The 21512-nt window shown below is 58.3% G+C and overlaps 2 protein-coding genes across 30 annotated transcripts in view, besides 6 other annotated features; one reads left to right on the top strand and one right to left on the bottom strand.

Moving 5' to 3' along the window:
• Window positions 2129-2488: a silencer, noted in NCBI's record as "silent region_9213". NCBI's record gives its function as "represses an Ori minimal core promoter by ATAC-STARR-seq in GM12878 lymphoblastoid cells {active_cell/tissue: GM12878}" and the evidence as "EXISTENCE:reporter gene assay evidence [ECO:0000049][PMID:35858748]".
• On the top strand, window positions 2189-10355 carry CYBC1 (cytochrome b-245 chaperone 1). Of its 15 annotated transcripts, none has more exons than NM_001100407.3 (8): window positions 2189-2241; window positions 3461-3510; window positions 3649-3771; window positions 5320-5361; window positions 6245-6318; window positions 6981-7077; window positions 8350-8494; window positions 8817-10355. In NM_001100407.3, exons 3-8 carry the CDS (start codon window positions 3687-3689, stop codon window positions 8935-8937), a joined length of 564 nt encoding a protein of 187 aa, NP_001093877.1. In that variant the 5' UTR covers window positions 2189-2241; window positions 3461-3510; window positions 3649-3686; the 3' UTR covers window positions 8938-10355. The 15 variants fall into 15 exon arrangements, 10 of the variants coding, with proteins under 10 accessions (NP_001093877.1, NP_001180586.1, NP_001180582.1 ...); NM_001193657.2 differs by having other exon boundaries at window positions 2189-2408; NM_001193653.2 differs by having other exon boundaries at window positions 2189-2461.
• Window positions 3119-3378: an enhancer, noted in NCBI's record as "active region_13009". NCBI's record gives its function as "activates an Ori minimal core promoter by ATAC-STARR-seq in GM12878 lymphoblastoid cells {active_cell/tissue: GM12878}" and the evidence as "EXISTENCE:reporter gene assay evidence [ECO:0000049][PMID:35858748]".
• Window positions 3799-3848: a silencer, noted in NCBI's record as "silent region_9212". NCBI's record gives its function as "represses an Ori minimal core promoter by ATAC-STARR-seq in GM12878 lymphoblastoid cells {active_cell/tissue: GM12878}" and the evidence as "EXISTENCE:reporter gene assay evidence [ECO:0000049][PMID:35858748]".
• Window positions 10296-21512, bottom strand: part of HEXD (hexosaminidase D) — a 24299-nt gene continuing 13082 nt past the window's right edge. For 5 of the 15 annotated variants that reach the window (NM_173620.3, XM_047435785.1, XM_006722280.3 and 2 more), the window contains 8 exons: window positions 19119-19283; window positions 17069-17252; window positions 16203-16274; window positions 15578-15773; window positions 13228-13310; window positions 11675-11944; window positions 11052-11141; window positions 10296-10764 (listed from right to left, as the gene is read on the bottom strand). In NM_173620.3, the coding sequence (NP_775891.2) occupies window positions 10349-10764; window positions 11052-11141; window positions 11675-11944; window positions 13228-13310; window positions 15578-15773; window positions 16203-16274; window positions 17069-17252; window positions 19119-19283 (1476 nt within the window). In that variant the 3' untranslated portion in view covers window positions 10296-10348. Of the gene's footprint in view, window positions 10765-11051; window positions 11198-11674; window positions 13311-15577; window positions 15774-16202; window positions 16275-17068; window positions 17253-19118; window positions 19284-21512 lie in introns of those variants that run through there. The other 10 variants (NM_001369487.1, XM_047435788.1, NM_001330542.2 and 7 more) reach the window with 8 other exon arrangements.
• Window positions 10412-10501: an enhancer, noted in NCBI's record as "active region_13008". NCBI's record gives its function as "activates an Ori minimal core promoter by ATAC-STARR-seq in GM12878 lymphoblastoid cells {active_cell/tissue: GM12878}" and the evidence as "EXISTENCE:reporter gene assay evidence [ECO:0000049][PMID:35858748]".
• Window positions 12431-13218: an enhancer, noted in NCBI's record as "H3K27ac-H3K4me1 hESC enhancer chr17:80397599-80398386 (GRCh37/hg19 assembly coordinates)". NCBI's record gives its function as "activates a minimal SCP1, AML or CMV promoter by ChIP-STARR-seq in naive H9 embryonic stem cells {active_cell/tissue: H9 hESC(naive)}" and the evidence as "EXISTENCE:reporter gene assay evidence [ECO:0000049][PMID:30033119]".
• Window positions 13441-13940: an enhancer, noted in NCBI's record as "H3K4me1 hESC enhancer chr17:80396877-80397376 (GRCh37/hg19 assembly coordinates)". NCBI's record gives its function as "activates a minimal SCP1, AML or CMV promoter by ChIP-STARR-seq in primed H9 embryonic stem cells {active_cell/tissue: H9 hESC(primed)}" and the evidence as "EXISTENCE:reporter gene assay evidence [ECO:0000049][PMID:30033119]".

The following is a 21512-nucleotide window of genomic DNA, read 5'->3' as shown; positions in this document are numbered from 1 at the left end:
CTTGAACCGGGGAGGCGGAGGTTGCAATGAGCTGAGATGGTGCCACTGCACCCCAGCCTGGGCAACAGAGTGGGACTTTGTCCAGAAAAAAAAAAAAAAAAAAGTTGCAGAGTTCCTGATCTTAAAGTTGTCATTTTTCAAATTTGTAGGTTCTATCCATATCCTTCTCTTTGTATATATCATTTTAAAAATCAGGTCATTTGCCTGTAGGATTTCCCATGTTGTCAAAAAGAGTCAAACTGAAAAATATTTTAAGAGATTCTGAACCAAATATGAGTGACCAAGGGCCAGCGACACAGCCCTTAGGAGATCCTAAGAACACGTACCCAAGGTGGTTAGGCTACATACATTTTTGGAAGACATAAGACAGTCAATACACGTAGATGTACATTGGTTTGGTTCAGAAAGGTGTGGCAACTTGAAGTGGGGGGGCTTCCAGGTCATAGGTAGATTCAAAGATTTTCTATCTGGCAATTGGTTGAAAAGGTTAAGTTACTGTCTAAAGACCTAGAATCAACAGAAGGGAGTTTTTAGGTTAAGATAAGGGTTTGTGGAGACCAAGATTTCCATTAAGCAGAGGAAGTCTCCAGGTAGCAGGCTTCAGAGAGAATAGATTGTAAGTGCTTCTTATCAGAGTTCTCCCTGAAGCAGGAAAAAGACCTGGAAAGGAACGGGGATTCGCTACAGAATGTAGATTTTCTTCACAAGGGACAGCTTTGCAGGGCTATTTCAAAATAAGTCGAAGAAATTTAATGTGGGGTAAAGTACTTCCATTTCTTCCAAGGCTTCCTATCTGTCATGTAGTCCTATACCAGAGTCAGGCTGGAATTTGGCGTCATTGCTACAGAGTCTACTTTGTCAACTTCAAGATCTGTTTTTGTTTTGTTTTGTTATTTTTTATTGAGATGGAGTCTCACTCTGTTGCCCAGGCTGGAGAGCAGTGGCACGATCTCGGCTCACTGCAAGCTCTGCCTCCCGGGTTCACGCCATTCTCCTGCCTCAGCCTCCCGAGTAGCTGGGACTATGAGCACCCGCCACCACGCCCAGCTAATTTTTTTGTGTTTTTAGTAGAGATGAGGTTTCACTGTGTTAGCCAGGATGGTCTCAATCTCCTGACCTCGTGATCTGCCCACCTTGGCCTCCCAAAGTGCTGGGATTACAGGCGTGAGCCACCGCACCTGGCCACCTCAAGATCTGTTTTAATGTGAATGCTGGTCAGCTGTGTGCCTGAATTCCAAAAGGGAGGAGGGAGTGAGGTATGTCTGTCTCCCCCTTCCCATCACTGCCTGAGCTAGTTTTTCAGGATAACTTGGGAATGCTCTTGGCCAAGCGGAAGGGTCCATTCAGATGGTTGAGGTTTCGAATTGCTGACTGTATCCTTGTAGAATCCTTTAGTACAGTCTTGTCTTCCACATTTCCAGTAATTCACTCTAGAAGCTTGTTCACATTCAGGTTAAATTTTTTCTGGCAAGACTACTTCATAGTGTTGTGTACTTCTGATATCTAACTGACCTTTTTGCGATGTTAATTAGCAGTCATTGATGACATTGCCTAGGTCCGTTAATTCATAGGGTGATGTTTTAATCCTACTGTTTCTTCTTCATTTATTAGCGGGAAAACTTCTATAATGAGAAATTCTTCTCATGCAGTATTTGGTTACTCTGCTGTAAATTTCATAAAGGCAGGACAAATGCTTGATGCTTTCCTTTTATTAACCAGGCCACAAACTGGGGTGAGCTTACCAGCATCCTCCAAAGGTGAACAGAGTTAAAAAATACATTATTATGAATTACAGACTGGAGCATCTGAGGATTTTAAATTCACTCGAATTCCTGTTCTTATTCATGCTCAAATCTTCTTTTTTGGCAATGAGAACCGCTTCAGTTTCGCTTCTATGTTAGCAAGACGTTCATAGTCCTTGGTAAGTTCTTTGCTGTCGGATACGTTTCCCCGCACGTTTCTTTTTTTCAAGAAAACTGGCTTCTTTAGCAGGAACCACCCGCCTCCTCCTGCGGCTCCGCCCGGATCCCGGAAATCCGCTCGGCTCCGCCCCATCCAGGAAATGCTTGCGGCCCCGCCCCAATCCCGTAAGCGCGCGCGGCCCCGCCCCCAATCCCGGAAGCGCGCGCGGCCCCGCCCCCGAAAGTCGGCTCGGCTCCGCTCCAATCCCGGAAGTGCGCGCGGCCCCGCCCCCGCCGGTTCGCGTCTCTCTGCTGCGGCGCGGGGACCGCTGTGCTCTCGGTAGGCGGCTGGGCTGGGTGGGCTCCGCACTTCCTTCCCGCTCCGTGCCGCGCGTCCCGGCACCCTTAGGCCCACTCCGGGAGGGGTCTGCGTCCTGGGCCCGCCTGCCGGCTGTTCCGTGTCCCGCCGTGCCCGTCGCGGGCGGCCTCGCGCCTGTTCCGCTGCAGGTTGGCCCCGGCGGCGGGAGCGCCCCCGATCCGGACAAAGAAACGAGCGCTCGGTGCGACTAGCGGCGCGGGCGGCTTTGCCAGCGCGCGTGTGCTTGTGTCCGCGAGTGTGCGTGTGTGTGTGCATTTGGATGTGGAATGCCGGGTGTTTCGGGAGCAATGAGGCAACTGAGGCCCGGGAGGGAGCCCAGTCATATACCAGCATCTAGGATTGGTTTGTGTGATTTGAACCCACTATTTTTTATTTTTTTGAGACACGGTCTCACTCTGTCACCCAGGCTGGAGTCCAGTGGCACGATTTCTGCTCACTGCAGCCTCCACCTCCCGGCCTCAGGTGATCCTCCCAGCTCAGCCTCCTGAATAACTAGGACCACAGGCGTACACCACCACACCGGGCTGTTTTATGTATTTTCTGTGGAGACGGGGTTTCGCCACGTTGCCCTGGCTGGTCTTGAACTCCGTGACTCAAACAATCCGCACGCCTCGTCCTCCCAAAGTGCTGAGATTACAGGCCTGAGCCACCGCGCCCAGCCTGAACCCCCTACTTAATGTCAGAAATTTGATTTGACTTCACAGGGAAAGCCCTGAGAAACTACCAGAACGGGGTCCCTGGGGCCAGTGTTGGGAGCGTACGGTGAAGTGGCAGGGCTGCTGCGCCCGTGCGGAACTCCGCTGTGGAAGATTAGCCCCTTTGGTGACTCGTCGGTTCTGGCCGCTTTGGGACCCTCTACTGTGCAGTCTGAACTTTCAGCAGGTGGAGGAGGGCAGAGAGAGAGCTGAGATCGTTGGTCCATGCCAGTGCGAGAGCCAGTACGGCCGGAAGCCATGATGGGACTTTCAGTTCCTTTCTTGGTGGAGGCCAGCACAGGGGAGAGGGGGTGCCCACAGATGCTAGAAGCTTAAAGGCTGCTGGGGGCTAGCGGCCTCAGGACATAAGGTTTCCAGACAGGACGGGGCAGGTGGTGATGCAGCTGTAGCTCGTGAGTCTGAGCGGGAAACAGCCCCCGCGCAGTCGGTGTCGCTGTGAACGGAAAAGGGCCTTCCTTACACAGGAAACGGGGTCTCTGGGGGATCCAGTGACGTGCCCAACCACAGAGACCAGGTGAGACTGGCTGATGGTGTCTGGGGCTGCAGGTGACTTAGTTGGGGGACCTGCTCTTGGCCTCCAGACTGGGCCTGATGGCGTGGGCGCCTGCCTGTGTGCAGGCCCAAGGGCTCAGCTGCCTCTGTCTGTTCCCAGACCCCTCCTCCTGTAGAGAGTGGTGCTGCCCTCTCGGGATGTACCTGCAGGTGGAGACCCGCACCAGCTCCCGCCTCCATCTGAAGAGGGCTCCAGGCATCCGGTCCTGGTCCCTGCTGGTTGGTAAGGCTCTCCACGTCCCTCCCCAGAACCCCAGAACCGGAAGCCTGACTTTCAAAAAGGATGAAAATGAAACAAAATATTTTCTCTTTTTTCTATTACCTTGAAATCTAATGGCTATTTTGTTTCTTTGTATCCATTCAAATTCTATCTGGTGTACTTGGTTTTACAGATAATGCATGTCTGTTTTGTCCCCTTTTAATCACTAACACCCAGCGTATTTAATATACTCTATGAGCTTTTCTGAGGTCACCATATTTTCCTTTGTACTTGTTTTGAACCACGTGATGGGTGATCGTGGGTTCCCATGTCTCCTCCTCCCTGGTCCTCAGACCTCTTCGTAGGACTCACAGTCCACTAACCACGTGATGGGTGATCGTGGGTTCCCATGTCTCCTCCTCCCTGGTCCTCAGACCTCTTCGTAGGACTCACAGTCCACTAACCACGTGATGGGTGATCGTGGGTTCCCATGTCTCCTCCTCCCTGGTCCTCAGACCTCTTCGTAGGACTCACAGTCCACTAACCACGTGATGGGTGATCGTGGGTTCCCATGTCTCCTCCTCCCTGGTCCTCAGACCTCTTCGTAGGACTCACAGTCCACTAACCACGTGATGGGTGATCGTGGGTTCCCATGTCTCCTCCTCCCTGGTCCTCAGACCTCTTCGTAGGACTCACAGTCCACTAACCACGTGATGGGTGATCGTGGGTTCCCATGTCTCCTCCTCCCTGGTCCTCAGACCTCTTCGTAGGACTCACAGTCCACTAACCACGTGATGGGTGATCGTGGGTTCCCATGTCTCCTCCTCCCTGGTCCTCAGACCTCTTCGTAGGACTCACAGTCCACTAACCACGTGATGGGTGATCGTGGGTTCCCATGTCTCCTCCTCCCTGGTCCTCAGACCTCTTCGTAGGACTCACAGTCCACTTAGCCTCCCGTCCTCCATCGCTACCCACCAGTAGGGTCCTGTACCCTTGGGGACAGCTGCACTTGTGTTGACGGGACACCGTGTGAGGAGTGGTGCTGGCTGTACCTCAGCAGCTGGGGCCCACCTTTTTTGTGACACGCCACAGCCTCCTGTGTGTTTTGCATGACACGCTGTGTTGTAATTTCTTTGTGCACAGTCTTCAGGCCTCACCACGTGCTACTGGAGTAACACCCGTGTCAGTTATGGAGCCTCACACAGCAGATGTGTCTAGTAAATACTGTGAATAGCGTATACTGTGTTTTGCTTTTGTTTTCTTTAGTAATGAGGTCTCGTTATGTTGCCCAGGCTGGTCTCAAACTCCTGAGCTCAAGCGCTCTTCCTTCCTCGGCCTCCCAGGTAGCTGGGATTACAAGTGTGTGATACTACGCCCAGCTATACTGCATTATTGAACCAGCTTCCTGGCTGTTTCCCCTACTCTGAACCTGGTGGTCTGTAACCCCTGACCACAGCTGTTCCTACAGTGGGAAGGGCCTGCTCATCAGGGGCTGTGGCTCCTGGTCCCGCTGCACCAGGGAGGTGGGGTCTTACCGGGATCAATAGGCAGGCAGTCACTTTCTCTTCATAGGAATCTTGTCGATTGGCCTGGCTGCTGCCTACTACAGCGGAGGTAAAGCACCCCCCGCCCCACCCCCCCATGACTGTCTCAGCTGTTTGGAAAACAGAGAAAAGAAGGAAAAACTGTCATTTGTGACTGTCCATGGGGCGGCCTTTAGGATCGGCACCTCTGCCCCTTGATTGCTGGCGGGCACCGCGCCCTCCATGCGCTGCTGTTCTTCCGCACGCCCATCCTGCCCAGCGCTCAGCCCACATTTCACTTCTTTTTTTTTTTTTTTTGAGACGGAGTCTCGCTCTGTCACCCAGGCTGGAGTGCAGTGGCGGGATCTCGGCTCACTGCAAGCTCCGCCTCCCGGGTTCACGCCATTCTCCTGCCTCAGCCTCCCAAGTAGCTGGGACTACAGGCGCCCGCCACTACGCCCGGCTAATTTTTTGTATTTTTAGTAGAGACGGGGTTTCACCGTTTTAGCCGGGATGGTCTCGATCTCCTGACCTCGTGATCCGCCCGCCTCGGCCTCCCAAAGTGCTGGGATTACAGGCGTGAGCCACTGCGCCCGGCCACATTTCACTTCTTAAGTCTTCTGTGTTTTTGGGTCATCAAATATTCCCGGAGAGATGCTCTTGAGGATCTAAGATCCAGCTGTGGGATGAGGTGTACTTCCCACCCTGCCACAATCACTGGGCCTGCCCAGACGGGCAGAGGCCCTGTGCGCCCCACCTGCCTCTCTCACGTGGACTCTGGGGGTCAGAGCTGGGTGGGGTGTGCCGCGTGTGGGTCCTGAGTGGCCAGGGCAGGGTCAGCAGCACAGGAAGCTGCCCAGGGGGTCCTTGCAAGCGTGGGCTCTGGCCAGCGTCTGGGGGAGGCTGTGCTAGGCGGGGCCTCCCGTGGGCATGTCCCTGGAGCTCACAGGCTGGCGCCCTATGCCCATCTCCAGATAGCCTGGGCTGGAAGCTCTTCTACGTCACAGGCTGCCTGTTTGTGGCTGTGCAGAACTTGGAGGACTGGGAGGTAAGGCCGGCTCGGGTGCGGGACAGAGTCCAGGGCTGTTCAGCTCCTGGGTTTTTTGCAATGGGAATGAAAGGAGGAGGAAGGGCCCTGGGTGGCCTAGCGCCTCCCCGTCCTGAAGCGTTGGTCCCTGCTTGGAGGTCTCCGTTCATCAGGACATGGCCCCTGCACTCATCTGGGACCGTTCTTGGCCAAGGAATTCCCCGAAGGCATTTTTCTCTTAGAAGCTCTCCATGACTATCTTCACCAAAGTGCTTTCTTCCCAGAGTTGCCACAATGGGATGCGAGTCAGCTTTCCCCGTGGCCGGCCCTCCCACCTCGGAGCCCCTCATGAGTCCTTTCAGCCTGGCCCAGTGCTGCCCTCTGACCTCCATGCCCTCGTTTGCTGGTTCCACTGCCTCCCTGCACTTGTTTTGCCTGCAGGGTGGAGCAAGCGCCTGCTGCACCTGCCCACCTCTCCATTTCCCAACAGGAGTCGGGTTGGCTGCCGATATCCGGCTCTGACAGAGCAGCACCTGTGGCTTCAGGGGTTTGGGTTCTGACTGGGAGGGTCCCCAGCCCCCCTTCTTGAGTGTCCACCCTGGTGAGGGTGGGGGTGAGGCCCCAGCGGCCACGGGGCCCCCGTTCCTGGAGGTTCATGGTGGTCAGTGCATGTCGGTTTCCAGGAAGCCATCTTCGACAAGAGCACAGGGAAGGTTGTTTTGAAGACGTTCAGCCTCTACAAGAAGCTGCTGACTCTTTTCAGAGCTGGCCACGACCAGGGTGAGTCGTGGGGAGCGTGGGGACATGGGACACGGCCACAGAGGCGGCGCACTTGGGCGTCTGGGTGACTCACGGGGCCTAGAGGGGGGCCTGGAAGTGCCTTTGGTCCAAGCTCACCTGCTTGGTGACCAGGGTTGTGTCCTGCCCGCTGGAAGCAGGATCCCACGGATACGCCCCACCTGCTCACCTGCTCAGCAGGGTCCTAGAGCCTCCTGGGTTCTTTAGAGGTTTGGCCCCTGGGGAGAGTGGGAGGAGCAGGGGTCTGAGGAGCAGGGGTCTGGCAGAGCAGGGGTCTGAGGAGCAGGGGTCTGGCCCACCCGGGCTCGGGCAGCCTCTGTTTAGCTGCATTCTCCCGTCTGCCTGGCAGCCACTTGTCCGCAGGTGCAGTCTGGCCCCAGCGGCAGGTCACAGGACGGGGCAGGGAGAGCCATGGCAGCCCGTGGGCGTTCTGGAGTGGGGCCACCTGGCTTCTTGCGGGCCTTGGCGCTGCTCCAGCTTTCCTGTGGGTTCTACTGGGCCTGCAGTAGGGGCTGGATGGTCCGAGGAACTCCCCACCCTTGAGCCTGGGCACTGGCCCAGCTGTGGTCAGTACCAGTTTCCTGTAGATGCTGCCGCACAGACAGACAGAGGCCCCGGGGTCCGGCCGCCCATGCATAGCCCCAGAGGGGACAGATTCTGGCGACCAGAGTTGCTGGGCAGTCTTGGGTTTAGTGCCGCAATGCTGCACTTCTGACAGGCTGCTTCCTGGATCCCTGCAGGGACCTGGCCAGGGCATTGGCCCCAGGTCACCTGTGGCTTTGGGGAGAGCAGTTGCAGGGCTGGCCTGGGCTGTGGGAGGCAGCTGTGCCGTTTTCTGACAGCCATTGGGACCGCCCCAGTACCCGAAGAGGTGGCTGCCCTGAGTTGCCACGGGAAACTGCAGGGTGGCCCTGGCTCAGCAGCCAACCTTGGGGAGACCTGGAGGAACAGTGCAGTGTAAAGATGGCCTCGCGCTGAGCGGGTCCCCGCAGTCGGCACTCCCAGGAGAACCAGCGGGCTGTGCATGTGACCCGCCAGCCTGCACCGCGGGCACGTCCTTCCCACCCAGAGGACCCTGCACTGCCTTCAGGGCCACAGCAGTCCTCCGGGGCCCAGCCTCAGGCAGGAAACAGCAAATGCTTTTGCTGCCAACCAAGTGTGGCTGTCGCTTTCGATGATGCCAGTGGCGCTGGTGCGACTGCCGGGCAGCATGTGTGGGCGGGGATGGCTCGGCCACTGACCGTCTCCCCGCAGTGGTGGTCCTGCTCCATGATGTCCGTGATGTGAGCGTGGAGGAGGAGAAGGTCCGGTACTTCGGGAAAGGCTACATGGTGGTGCTCCGGCTTGCGACGGGCTTCTCCCACCCCCTCACGCAGAGTGCAGTCATGGGCCACCGCAGGTAAGGCTGTGGGACTTTGATCTGGCCGGAGCTGCAGCCGTAGCAGGTCACTCCCGTTCCTGACTGCCCAGAGCTATGGGGCAGCTGGGAGAGGAGATGAGTTTGTGGACGGGACACAGAGGGGCCCACGGGAAGCGTGTGCAGGCTCAGGGGCAGCCCCACTGTGACGGGGAGGCTGGGAGCAGGCCAGGAAGTGCTGGGTCCAGTTTGGGAGCTCCAGGGTCTGCGGGAGGTAGGTGGTCGAGGAGGAGACTGCTGTGGGGTCTCACGGTGCCCTATGCCGAGGTGACCTGACCTTCCTCCCGTTGCCGGCCTCGCCCAGTGATGTGGAAGCCATCGCCAAGCTCATCACCAGCTTCCTGGAGCTGCACTGCCTTGAGAGCCCCACAGAGCTGTCTCAGAGCAGCGACAGTGAGGCCGGTGACCCTGCAAGCCAGAGCTGACAGCCCCACTGTGCCTGAGCCCGTGCACCGCCCACAGGACCCATGGCACATTCCCGGTGTGCCTGAGCCCGTGCACCGCCCACAGGACCCGTGGCACATTCCCGGTGTGCCTGAGCCCGTGCACCGCCCACAGGACCCGTGGCACATTCCCGGTGTGCCTGAGCCCGTGCACCGCCCACAGGACCCGTGGCACATTCCCGGTGTGCCTGAGCCCGTGCACCGCCCACAGGACCCGTGGCCTTGGCTTCAGTTGGTGCCTCCAGCCGAGTTGGCCTATTGCCTGCTCATGCTGCTGCTTGCACACTGCATGAAACAGCAGGCCAGACCAGGACATCCAGACTTTCTCCATCGTGAGGCCTGGGCCTGCCTTTCTGCAGCCGGAGGTCTCGCCAGCCCTGGACTCCTGCTTTGGGCCACAGCAAGACCTCGGGCGAGTGGAGAGGCGGGGCCAGGCCGGGCCCTTGTGGGTGCTGATGCTGCATGTTGTCCCCGACACAGCGTCCTCTCCCTGGTGGACATCCCCAGCGGTCAGGTGCTTCCCCAAGGGCAGTGAGGGGTGAACATCCAGGGCCTACCTGGCTGTGCACGCTGCAGCCACACTGTGGAAGCTGCCCCTCCCCGAGGACCCGCCTCCCTTGCTGATGCCAGGATCTCGGCGCATAGACCACTCTGCCCCAGCGGTCGTCACAGAAAGGTCTCTCTGTTCCTCACACTCAGCTTCAGCATAAGCTGTGAGGCCAGAAAAAAGGTCAGCTCTTCTAGTATCGTGCAGTGCTTAAAAACCGGGAGCTCCAGCCGGGCGCAGTGGTTCATGCCAGTAATCCCAGCACTTTCGGAGGCCGAGGTGGGAGGATTGCTTGAGGCCAGGAGTTCAAGACCAGCCTGGGCAACACAGCAAGATCCTGTCTTTGTAAAAAAACTAACCAAACAGGAAAAACTGGGAGATTTTCTGCAGAAATTGAGTTCCAGCCTCTCTCGAACCTGGGAAGACCTGGCAGGAGGGGGCTGGGCTCTCGGCTACAGACTTCTCCCCACCCCGTAGGAGCTGAACGCCAACCATCCTGACCCGCCAGTGCTCTTGGTCTCCTGAGTGTACCCAGGTCCTCCCAGGTGCGGTGTGCACCGAGCGCGCCTGGCCTGATGCCCTGGCCTGTGAGCTGGGGACTCCTGGGCCCTGTGAGCCCCTAGGCGGCAGGCCCAGGAATGGCTGGGTAGGACAGGGAACACCTTTGCCCCACGTCTGGCTGTGACCTCGGTGAAAGCCGACAGGAGAGAGATGGGACCCTCCTCCTCAGTAGTGGCTGCCAGTCCCTCGTTGCAGGACAGGGTCATCATAACCATAAATAACCCTTCACGTGTCACCTGCAGCTTCCACTCTTTATTTCCAAAGAATCAGTGTCACACATGCAGATCACAAAGCGGGTCTCCCTGTGCTGCTTCCTTCTGTGTTTTCTAGTCTCTCCCCCAGGGGCTGCCCAGGGCCCTCAGGAACTGAGTGTGGGCAAGACACTGCTGGGCCAGAGGGCACGACGCCCACGTGGGCCCGTATTGCCCAGGCCATTTGGCAGTGCAGAGCCCCCCCAGCCTCCAGCAGGAGCCCCCTGGCATGAGCTCTCCCCTCAGGGGTCCTGAGCAACGTCCCTGCCAGGGCTGGTGGGTGGCAGCGGGGGGGCAGACACCTCGCTGAGGTCCTGCAGCAGAGCTTGCAGCCGCTGCAGGCTGGGGTGCACGTTTTCCTCCAGCCACTCCTCCACGGCATCCGGGTAGAAAGCCAGCTGCAGGGCAGCCTCCAGCTCCTGCACGAGGGTGCTCCACTGTGCCAGGAGGCTGCAGGTGAGGGCGCCATGAACGCACAGTCTGCACACTTGGGACTTGCCCTCAGCCCCATGGTCAGTACTGCCCTGTGCCTCAGTTCACCTGTGAAATGGGGCTACTGACCCTACCTCATCGGCATGTCGGGAGGAACAAGTCGGTGACAGCTGCACATCTGAGACCAGAGGGCCTTTTACAACTAGGGGCTCACCCTCTGCTCTCTAGTTGAGGGACATGTCAGCAACAGCAGCAGTTCTCAGGGAACCCATGGCTGCACGGCCTATAAGAGCCCAGGGCCTCACCTGAGCGCTGCGGGCTGGATGTGCTGAACCATGACCGGGTGGATGAGCTTCCGCTGGCGGTGGTAGGGGCTGAACCAGCCAGTGACATACCTGGGGCAAATCCACATAGGGGTGTGCCGCGGGCTACCAAGGCAGCCGTGGGGCGGCTTTGCAGTAATACAGAAAATGTTTAAGAATGGGGTTGACATTTCTAAGTCTTATGTCCCCCAGAAAGTCTTTGTGAAGGATGAGGCTGCCTCCTCCTGTGCCTGGGAGTGGGGGGACTTGTGAACCTGCCCCTCACCAGCACCTGTCCCTACCCCCCTCACCCACACCTGCCTCCCACCCACACCTGCCCCATGCCTTCCCGCTTACCCACACCTGCCCCTCAGCCGCACCTGCCCCATGCCTGCCTGCTCACCTGCACCTGCCCCTCACCCACACCTGCACGCTCACACCTGCCTGTTCACCTGCACCTGCCTCCCACCCACACCTGCCCCTCACCCGCACCTGCCCCATGCCTGCCCGCTCACCTGCACCTGCCCCTCACCCGCACCTGCCTCCCACCCACACCTGCCCCCTCACCTGCACCCGCCCCATGCCTGCCCCCCTCACCCACACCTGCCCCTAACCCACACGCTCACCTGTTGCCCTCCAGCAGCGCATCCACAGAGCTGCGCAGATGGAGGCTGACTTGTGTGACAAGGGCAAGGATGTTGCTGCCAGGGAAGGAGCCGGCCCCCTCCCTGCGGAGAGCCCTGCTGAGAACAGCTGTCTCCACGGGCGGGGGAAGGGGAGGGGAAGAAGGGGACAGGGAGGGCTGCAGGGTGCTTGCCTAACAGGGTCCGTTTTTTCCAGGCTGGAAATCCCGAGAAGGTTCTCCACTTTCGCTTTAACATCTTCATCAAATCCTCCTGAAATCACAAATGAGCGGGGCGGTTGGAGGGGCCTCTGGAGGAGGGGAGGGGGCTACATTGGGACCTGCAGGCCTAGGTACTGGGGCAGTGGGCGGGCGGCAATGGAGAGCCACTGGCCAGGCCCAGCCCCGCGTGTGCCGGCCCCAAGGGGACCTGGGGGCAAATGGGCCTGCTGCTTCTCTTTAAACACGTGAAATACGTTCCTTATTTTAAAAATCAGAAAACAGAAGTAAGACTGTGTTGCCAGCAGCAACACCCGGACAGCAAGTGGCTCTTCCTGCTGGGCGCAGCCCGACCCACACAGGTGTCCAGGGCTCACGCAGAGTTTGCCACTGTGTTTTACACAATCGATGGAATATTCTAGAGCACCCGAAACAAACCCATGAGGCCTGCAGGCACCAGCGTGGACGAATCTCCGACTTGGTGTTCATGGAAATGCTTGCTGCAAGAGGCTGACGGCCAGAGGGCAGGAGGGAAGTGCCCCAGTCACGGGTGGCGGATGGGGCCGTGGGCAAGGGACACTGCAAATACCGTCAATATTAACACAGCTCTTTAGTGTGGGGTACAGGGGTGTCTGTTTTTATCGTTTCTGCCCCTTTCTAAGCAGTTGAGAGTCAGCAACTGAGAAGTCAATCTGATCTCATTCTGCGTCCTCTCACCGGCCGCGTCCCCGTCCCTGGGCCGCCGCGCCTGCGGGTCCCGCTCTCCGCGCGTCTCGGCCATTTTTCTTTCTGCATCAGCACCACGCAGTCGCTAATTTCCCGTGTGGCCTGCGAGTTTCCACACACACAGCTCCTCTGGCCAAGCCCCCTGCCGACCCCAAGGGGTTCCCCGGTGCCTGCCCCTGCCCATGGGTCCCGCTGCTCCCTCAGGAGACCTGGAAGTGTGAGTGCTGGGTCCAGGGTGCGGGGCCTTCCAGGGCCGGGCGCCTGAGCCCCACACCTGCTCGGCCAGGTGGGCAGGACGTGTGTGCAGCAAAGGTGGAGCCGTTCCCCACCTCCGACCTGCGTGCATTTCTGCGGATTCACTGTGTCTGAGGGGTGCCTCCCGCGTCACTCTCCAGCCTGCTTTGGGCTTAGGCCTGGAGACCCAGACACAGGCCCAGCCTGGGTGGACTTCAGGGCAGGTGGGTGGCTGAGCTGGGGCGGTGAGACCATCCTCCGACTGTGAGGACCACCACAGTCCAGCAGGGTGGTTGGAGCACTGGGTGCTTGGCCTCCTGCCCTCCGGGTCTTTCGGGGAGGGGCCGGTGGGGCTTGGGGTGGCCAGACCAGACATACCGCGTAGAAGCAACTGCAGGCAGGCGGCCAGGGACGGGACTCCTGCGGGCAGCAGCTCGCACAGCACAGAGTAGTGGTCGTACCTGGGTCCATGAGAGGGGCGCTTAGCTCCGCAGCCCGCCCCCAGCAGCCTGACGCAGGCGCCCTGACTTCGGACGTCCCTGCTGTTGTTCCAGGGCCTTAGGCTACATCAGCGCTGGGGGCAGCCCGACCCCCTCAACCCATGGGGCCCAGGGTTTCCAAGACAGGTTCTGTGCGGCAGGGCTCTCATGTCAACTCCGTTCTAGAAACCGGACAAGTGAAGAGCGTGGGGATTCCTTGCTGCAATGCTCTCCGGAGCCATGGGAATTCTGGGTGGACCTTGGGTGGGTGGCCGGTCGTTGTCCCTCCCCCCAGCACCTCTGGCCTCTGAGAAAAGGGCTCCTGCTTCTGGGGGCTGCCCTTGACGCCCCCCTCCTAGGGCCTCCGGGCCCCTCCTGCCCCACCCTCTCCCTCGGCTGCCTCCTGTCTGGCTGGTGGGGGTGGCAGCTTTTCCCCAAGGCCCCATGAGGAGGGCGAGAGATCAGGCGTGGCAGGCAGCAGGTCAGGGGCAGCATCTGTCCCAAGCGAGGGCTGGGGGGCCTTGGCCTGGCCTGGGCTTCCCACTGCTGGGTAGGGTGCCTCCACCTGCCCGTGCCTCAGTTTCTTCAGCTGTGAGGTGGGTGACAGACGCTGCCCCAGGTGTGAGCACAGGCGAAGGCTGGGCAATGCCTGACGCCACAGCCCCAGGCTCGCCTGAAGGATGCGCCGCTGCTCTGGGGGAGGAGGAGCCTCGCCCCGCTCTATGGACGATCCTGGTTTATGCAGACAGAGCTGTATCCCAACAGGACAGTGGGAACTATCTAGAAGCTTCTGCAGAGCCGCTGCCAGCTCCGGACATGCATGGTGGCTGTGAGCTGCCCCTCTAGCAGGCTGGCCCACCAGGCTCTGCGGTCCCCACCATGAAATTCTTGACTCCATCTCAATCTGAGCTTTGTGGGTGAGGGCACGGGGCCCCTGGTGGGTCTGGCCTCCAGCCGTTCGCCTAGCCCACATCACCTGCGCCACCTGCCCCCCAACCCTCTAACTTGAGACGAGACCCAAGGTCAGGACTTGGCCGGCGACCAGGGGTTTATCTTAGCTCTGCTTTTCACACAGTGTCGTCAGGGGAGCAGGGGCCTGGGAGCGCCAGGGTGATGCCACGGAGGCCCAGCTCCTTCATGGGACTAACAAGGCCCATTCTTGCCAGGCAGGACCCACAGTCACAGGATTTTTACAGCTGAGGAAGTGCTTAGATACCTGCAGGGGCCACTCCTACAACAGCCGACAGTCCTGGCATCCCCACACCCACGACAGCATGTGCCTTCTAGGTCACCAGAGTTAGGCTTCCATAGGCTACACACTGAAATGTCCAGGACAGTTTTCTTTAAATCATAGAGTAATACATTTTTTTTTTTTGAGACAGAGTTTTGCTCTGTCGCCCAGGCTGGAGTGCAGCGGTGTGATCTTGGCTCACTGCAACCTCCGCCTCCTGGGTTCAAGTGATTCTCCTTGCCTCAGCCTCCCGAGTAGCTAGGATCATAGGCGCGTGCCACCACGCCAGGCTAATTTTTGTGTCTTTAGTAGAGATGGGGTTTCACCACGTTGGCCAGGCTGGTCACGAACTCTGGACCTCAGGTGATCCACCCGTCTCAGCCTCCCAGAGTGCTGGGATAACAGGCATGAGCCACCGCACTCAGCCCCTAGAGTAATAAATTCTGTCACACTATTGGCCCACCCACAGGTAGCACAGCTTAGTGTTTACGTAGACAAGACCCTGATATGAGAAAAACGGAAAACAGAGCTGGGCACGCCTATGCTGGCCTTCCGAGGGCTCCACCTCTGTCACTGGGCACCTTTCAGTGACCCTCCCTCACCACACTTGGCCTTGAATTCTTTCCTGTGTGAGACCCAAGAACCTTCTCGTGGGGTCCGAATTGAGACGGCATTTCTAGCAACAGAGTGAAATCCTGAAAGAACCGAAACCCCTCCTCGTGCCACAAGCAAGACACACACACACACACACACACAGCCTCAGGTGCGGCGCACACGGGTAGCATGGGGGCTGGGGGCCACGTGTTCGTGACCCTGAACACGGGAGCAGCGTCCCTCAGCGGCCGCTCTGGCGTGCAGGGCCCAACCCCACGTGGCTGTTTCTGCAGCTCCTCTTGGAGGCCCGGGCTGCTTCCCCTTTGACCAACCTGGGAAGGCCCTTGGCGGACGCTGCACAGGCCGACGTGGTGGCCACCAGAGCTGCCCTGGACCCTCTGAGGACAGACTGGCCAGGACTTACCTCTGCCAGCCGGTCAGGATGATGCCCTGCAGTGAGTCCGTGGGCCCGCTGCCCGCCACCTGCAGCCACTGCACGTGGTTCCTGAGGTGGTGCTCAACAGGGGGCACGGCCTGGCTGGGCCCCGTGGCACCCTTGAAGGCACTGGCTGCCCACAGCTGCGGAAAGCCGCACCGCCGGTACTTCTGCATGAGGAGGACTGGGTGAGAAAGCAAACAGGTGAGTGGCTCCAGGGGAGGCGGCCAACACGGCCCTGGACACGCCTCCCGGGGCTGTACCCAGAGCCAACATGGGAGCCGCCTGAGACAGCCAGGCCCGGGTCTCAGTGTAGGAGACTCCAGAGTGTATGCGGCCGGCCCGGGTCCCAGTCGGGGAGACTCCAGAGTGTACGTGGCCCCTGGTTCACCTGCTCACTAGGAAAACACTGGTGGAACAGGGAGGGAGGTGAGGCACCGGTGCACGGTGGCCGTCCCGAGGCACCATGGGCTGGGGTCTGCTGGGGCTGTGCCCTGGCCTCTACCCGTGCAGGCTCCAGGCTGGGCAGTTCCGGCTGCAGGGTCACAGGGCCAGGGATGGCCTTCCCAGGCACATGGCCAGGACAACACACCCCCCACAACTTGGCACTGACCCTTGCCGTGCACATCCAGGTCGGCCGTGTAGTCCCAGAGCACCGGCTCCACCAGCTGCGGCACCCCGGACGCTGCAGACAGAGCGGACGTGAGGTTGGTGAGACACCTGGACCACACTCTCAGCCCCTCGGACCCACCTGTTCTCGTTTTGCTTGAAAGTGTGAGCACAGATACCTTTTTAAGACAGACTTGGCACCGTGCTGGGTTTTGACAATGAATGCCACAACCACACACAGTGCCTTTCCAAGCCAGCGCCCGCTGGAGCGACCATGCTCCCACTGCTGCTCTACCAGGCCATGAGCCACAGGCACAGCTGGAGCACGCGGCTGAATGGAGGTCACTCTAAGTCATCTATGTGGCCATGCATGGGTGGAAGCTGCCAGGCCGGCACGGCCCTAGGACACCCTGGCTCCCAGCTCTGCTATGGAGCTCACTGAGCCTCGGGGCTCTGTGTGGAACCAGGCCAGGTGTCTGAGTACCACCTCTTGGCCCAGAAAGGCGCTCAGCAGCTCGTCCCAAAGCCTCAGGCAGAGCGAGCAGGGCCCAGGGGCTGGAGGAGCAGCCAGCGGGAACCTCGGCCCCCAGTCCCAGCAGGGATGGCCTTGGAGGAGGCTGCTGCGAGTGCTGGACACTCCCAAGCCCTCTGGGCCACCAGGCAGGCCTGTGCTCTCCTGCCCAAACCTCCACAGCTTCTAGGGAAACGACTCAGGCCTGGCGTCAAGGGGATGCAGGAGGTGGTTGTGGCGGGTCTGTGCGGGGCTGGGGCTCACCCTGGGGCCCACTTCCTACAGCACCTTCTTTCTTTGAAGCCGCAGGTCTTGGGCAGTTCAGTGGCCCACCCCCTCCCCCAGCCCTGTTGGCCGACCTGCGAGCTGGTCCTCAGGCAGGTCTCGGAGCATGTCGTCCCACACCAGGGGTGTCACGCTGGGGCGCCGGGCCTTCACGCCGCTGGCCACCGCCCGCATGTGTGACAGGCACAACTTCCCCGTGCTGTTCTGCTCTTGCTGTAGCCACCGGCGCGAGGCCTCCCCCTCTCCGAGGTAATAGACCTGCAAGGAAGGAGCAGGACGGGGTTGCCTTGGCAGCCGTGCACACCGGTGGGAGGGTCCGGGGTTCACGCCGTGCCCTGACGGAGAGGGGCCGCTGCCTGTGGGGAGGAGGCCAGGGAGGGGCTCGGAGCCTTTGCTTACCACCCCCAGCGTGTCCCTGTCTTCCTCACTGAGCCCTGAACTTCTACTCAAGGTTTCCTGTGAATGTTCACAGCAGCTCTTCTCACAGCCAACAAAGCAGAGACCACAGGGGTCCATCCCCCATGATGGACCAGCATAGGGCAGCATCCCCCACCATGAACACGGCTCGGCTTCAGCAGACAGCCAAGCTCTGGCAGCTGACAGCCCGGAGGAGCACAGGTCATACACTGTGTGACTCGGTACCCGTGGAATGCCCAGACGGGCAAATCCACCGAGATAGGAAGCAGACCGTGGTCGCCGGGGCCTGGGGGCAGGTGCGGGGCTTGCCCTGGGGTGATTGCCCACACCATGAATGTCTGGAAGAGGTGCTGACGTTTATACTTATTTATTTATTTTGGAGACAGGGTCTTGCTCTGTTGCCCAGGCTGGAGTGCAGTGGCACAATCTCAATCTCGGCTCACTGCAACCTCCACCTCCTGGGTTCAAGTGATTCTCCTGCCTCAGTCTCCTGAGTAGCTGGGATTACAGGCGCCCACCACCACACCTGGCTAATTTTGTATTTTTAGTAGAGACGGGGTTTCACCATGTTGGCCAGGCTGATCTTGAACTCCTGATCTCAGGTGGTCCACCTGCCTCAGCCTCCCAAAGTGCTGGGATCACAAGTGTGAGCCACCGTGCCTGGCCTATTTATTTATTTACTTATTTATTTAGAGCCGGAGTCTCACTCTGTTGCCCAGGCTGGTATGCAGTGGCGTGATCTCAGCTCACTGCAACCTTCACCTCCTGGGTTCAAGCGATTCTCGTGCCTCAGCCTCCTGAGTAGCTGGGATTACAGGCGCCCGCCATCACGCCCGGCTGATTTTTGTATATTTAGTAGAGACGGGGTTTCACCACATTGGCCAAACTGGTCTCAAACACCTGACCTCAGGTGATCCACCCACTTTGGTCTCCCAAAGTGCTGGGATTACAGGCGTGAGCCACCACACCCAGCCTATATTTTAAAATGGTTAGAATGGTAAAGCTTAAGTGTATTTTACATACTCAGGTTTCCTTCAAAAAAAGGAAACTTCTGGGGCTAAAATGTTCAGCTCGGGTTCCCTGTGAGCCACAGCCCTGCAGAACCTCCCAGCCCCGTGGGCACCAACCCCGCCCCTTTCAGTTCCACATCCTGCCCAGGCCCTGACTGAGTTGGAGTCCAGTGAGTGGCAGGAGGGGCAAGGGTGGGGGCTCACTGGGTTGGAGGGGGCACATCTCTGGCACCCCCTGGGGACCACCTTTTCCATTGGGTGCTTCAGGGTCCAAATGCAGAACTTCCTCTCAGCAACAAAAGGGTGTCCCTCGAGTTACACCCTGACTTATGCTCACTGCTGGTCCTGGGGCGTGAACCTGCCCATCACCCACAGGCTTCCGCCAGCCCAGCCGCCCGGGGTGGTCTCGTCTGACACGAGGGTGCCTCCCTCGGGCTCTGCAGGCTGTCCCGTGCCAGGCCGCCCATCCACCCGGAGAAGATGTTGGACGCGTCTGACACGAGGGTGCCTCCCTCGGGCTCCGCAGGCTGTCCCGTGCCAGGCCGCCCATCCACTCGGAGAAGATGTTGGATGGGGTGCCCTGAGGGGAACAACAAGCCTGTCTCTAGGCCTCAGTGCCTGGAAGATTTTCCTATTTAAAAGGACAAGCCATGATAGGGGAGAGTGTCCTGCACAGAGCTGGGGTGACAGTACCCACCTCATCACACCCGATGTGCAGCCGCTGGGCGCCTGGGTGTAGCTCCAGGACCTGGTCAATCATGGCGCCCACCAGCGCCAGGGACTCTGCCTCGTGGGGGTTCAGGGTGCAGGGGAAGGAGCCCACCTCCCGCAGGTGGGCGAAGGCCGTGTGCTTCAGCACAAACTGCGGAGAGACAGAGAAGTTCGCGTTGGGGGCGGAGGAGCTGGACTGATCTCCTTCTGCCCACCTGGGGCTTCTGTTTCAAATCTACAGATAATACAAAAAAATTAGGCCAGGCAGAGAGTCTCAGTCCTGTAATCCCAGCACCTTGTGGGGGCTGAGGTGGGTAGAATGTTTGAACTCAGGAATTTGAGACCAGCCTGGACAACTGGTGAAACCCCATGGAATCTCGCTTTGTTGCCCAGGCTGGAGTGCAGTGGCACAGTCTCGGCTCACTGCAACCTCTGCCTCCCAGGTTCAAGTGATCCTCCCGCCTCAGCCTTCCCAGTAGCTGGGGATTACAGGCATGTGCCACCACGCCTGGCTAATTTTTGTATTTTTAGTAGAGATGGCGTTTCACTATGTTGGCCAGGCTGGTCTTGAACTCCTGACCACAAGTGATTCGCCTTCCTTGGCCTCCCAAAGTGCTGGGATTACAGGCGTGAACCACCACGCCCAGACTAAAAATATATATATAAAAAAAAAAAAAAAATATATATATATATATATATATATATATATATATATATTTTTTTTTTTTTTTCTTTTTTTTTTTGAGATGGAGTCTTGCTCTGCCGCCCAGTCTGGAGTGCAGTGGCATGATCTCGGCTCACTACAAGCTCTGCCTCCCAGGTTCACACCATTCTCCTGCCTCAGCCTCCCGAGTAGCTGGGACTACAGGCGCCCGCCACCACGCCCGGCTAATTTTTGTATTTTGTTTTAGTAGAGACGGGGTTTCACCGTGTTAGCCAGGATGGTCTCGATCTCCTGACCTTGTGATCTGCCCGCCTTGGCCTCCCAAAGTGCTGGGATTACAGGCGTGAGCCACTGCACCCAGCCATAAATTTTTTAAAAACCAAATCGGTTTAAGAAAAAAAAGTGGCCAGGTGTGGTGGCACCTGCCTGTGGTCCAGCTACTTGGGAGGCTGAAGCGGGAAGATCACTGGAGCCTAGGAAGTTGAGGCTGTAGTGAGCCATGATCACACCACTGCACTCCAGCCTGGGCGACAGAGTGAGACCCTGTCTCTGAAAAGAAAAAAACAGAAAAATGTTTATCTATGAAAGACCACTCTAACTTTGCCTAAGAACAGAGACTCTGTGGCCTCGGCCTAGGGCTACTCACTGCCCCCTTCCCCCTCACTGTGGAAACCACAGCTTTGCTGCCAAAGGGGCAGACTTAACTTGAGGCTGGGTTAAAAACCCACCCCTTGTGGGGGCGCTGTCAGTAGAAGCAGCAACTGGAGAAGAGGCCCTGTCTTCCGCTTGCCAGAGGGTGCAGTCCCTGCTGGGGAGAGCCAAGACTGGCTGCAGATTTAATGGGTGACCCTGGAAACAGAAAGCCAGATGGTGCTGCACACTCTCCTCAGGCCTGGCTGACGGGGGCCACACACACGTGCAGGGACCTGTGAGGGCCAGGTGGGAACTGCGCGAACCTAGGGATGCACCCCCCACCGCCCACACACAGCCCCGTGGCAAGGGGAGGAGGTCTGTGGGCTCAAGGTGTGGGAGCACAACCTCTGCCCAAACCCTTGGCTGACCACCAACTATGAAGACAGAGGGATGACCCTAGGAAGCCAGGCTAAAATGTAAAAATAAGAACCAAAAAATCTCAGCACAGACATCAGTGAGTGCACACAGCCAGGGGCAGGTCCTGCAGGTTAAATGCAGGCCATTTGCTAGAAAACAACAAAAAGACCACCACCAGCCACTGGGGAAAAGAGTAAACATTCAGCTTTGCTATAATGTATTAACTGAAATGTTCAGTTCTCAACCAAAAATTTTGAGATGTGCAAATGAACTGGAAAGTAGGATCCAGTTCACAGACTCTGACTCTCAGGGCCCACATGCAGAATTTATCAAATATTTCAAGAAAACTACTATGAATATATTGTAAGAATGAAAGGAGGCCGGGCATGGTGGCTCATGCCTGTAGTCCCAGCACTTTGGGAGGCCGAAGCGGGCAGATCACTTCAGGTCAGGAGTTCGACGAGATCAGTTTGGCCAACATGGCAAAACCCCGTCTCTACTAAGAAGACAAAAATTAGCTGGGTGTGGTGGCGGGCGCTGTAATCCCAGCTACTCGGGAGGCTGAAGCTACTTGGAATGTGGAGTTTGTAGTGAGCTGAGATCACGCCGCTGCACTCCAGCCTGGGTGACAGAGTGAAACTCTGTCTCAAAAAAAAAAAAAAAATT

Source organism: Homo sapiens, chromosome 17, assembly GCF_000001405.40.
Source record: "Homo sapiens chromosome 17, GRCh38.p14 Primary Assembly".
Lineage (NCBI taxonomy): Eukaryota > Metazoa > Chordata > Mammalia > Primates > Hominidae > Homo > Homo sapiens.
The sequence above is the reverse complement of the archived record's forward strand: the minus strand, read 5'-3'. Positions and strand labels throughout refer to the sequence as shown.

Coding starts and splice junctions, on each gene's coding strand:
- CYBC1 (NM_001033046.4), top strand. CDS start 3,687: ATGTACCTGCAGGTGGAGACCCGCACCAGCTCCCGCCTCCATCTGAAG. Junction 5,362..6,244: donor TGCTGCCTACTACAGCGGAG/GTAAAGCACCCC, acceptor GCCCATCTCCAG/ATAGCCTGGGCTGGAAGCTC. Junction 8,495..8,816: donor GCAGTCATGGGCCACCGCAG/GTAAGGCTGTGG, acceptor GGCCTCGCCCAG/TGATGTGGAAGCCATCGCCA.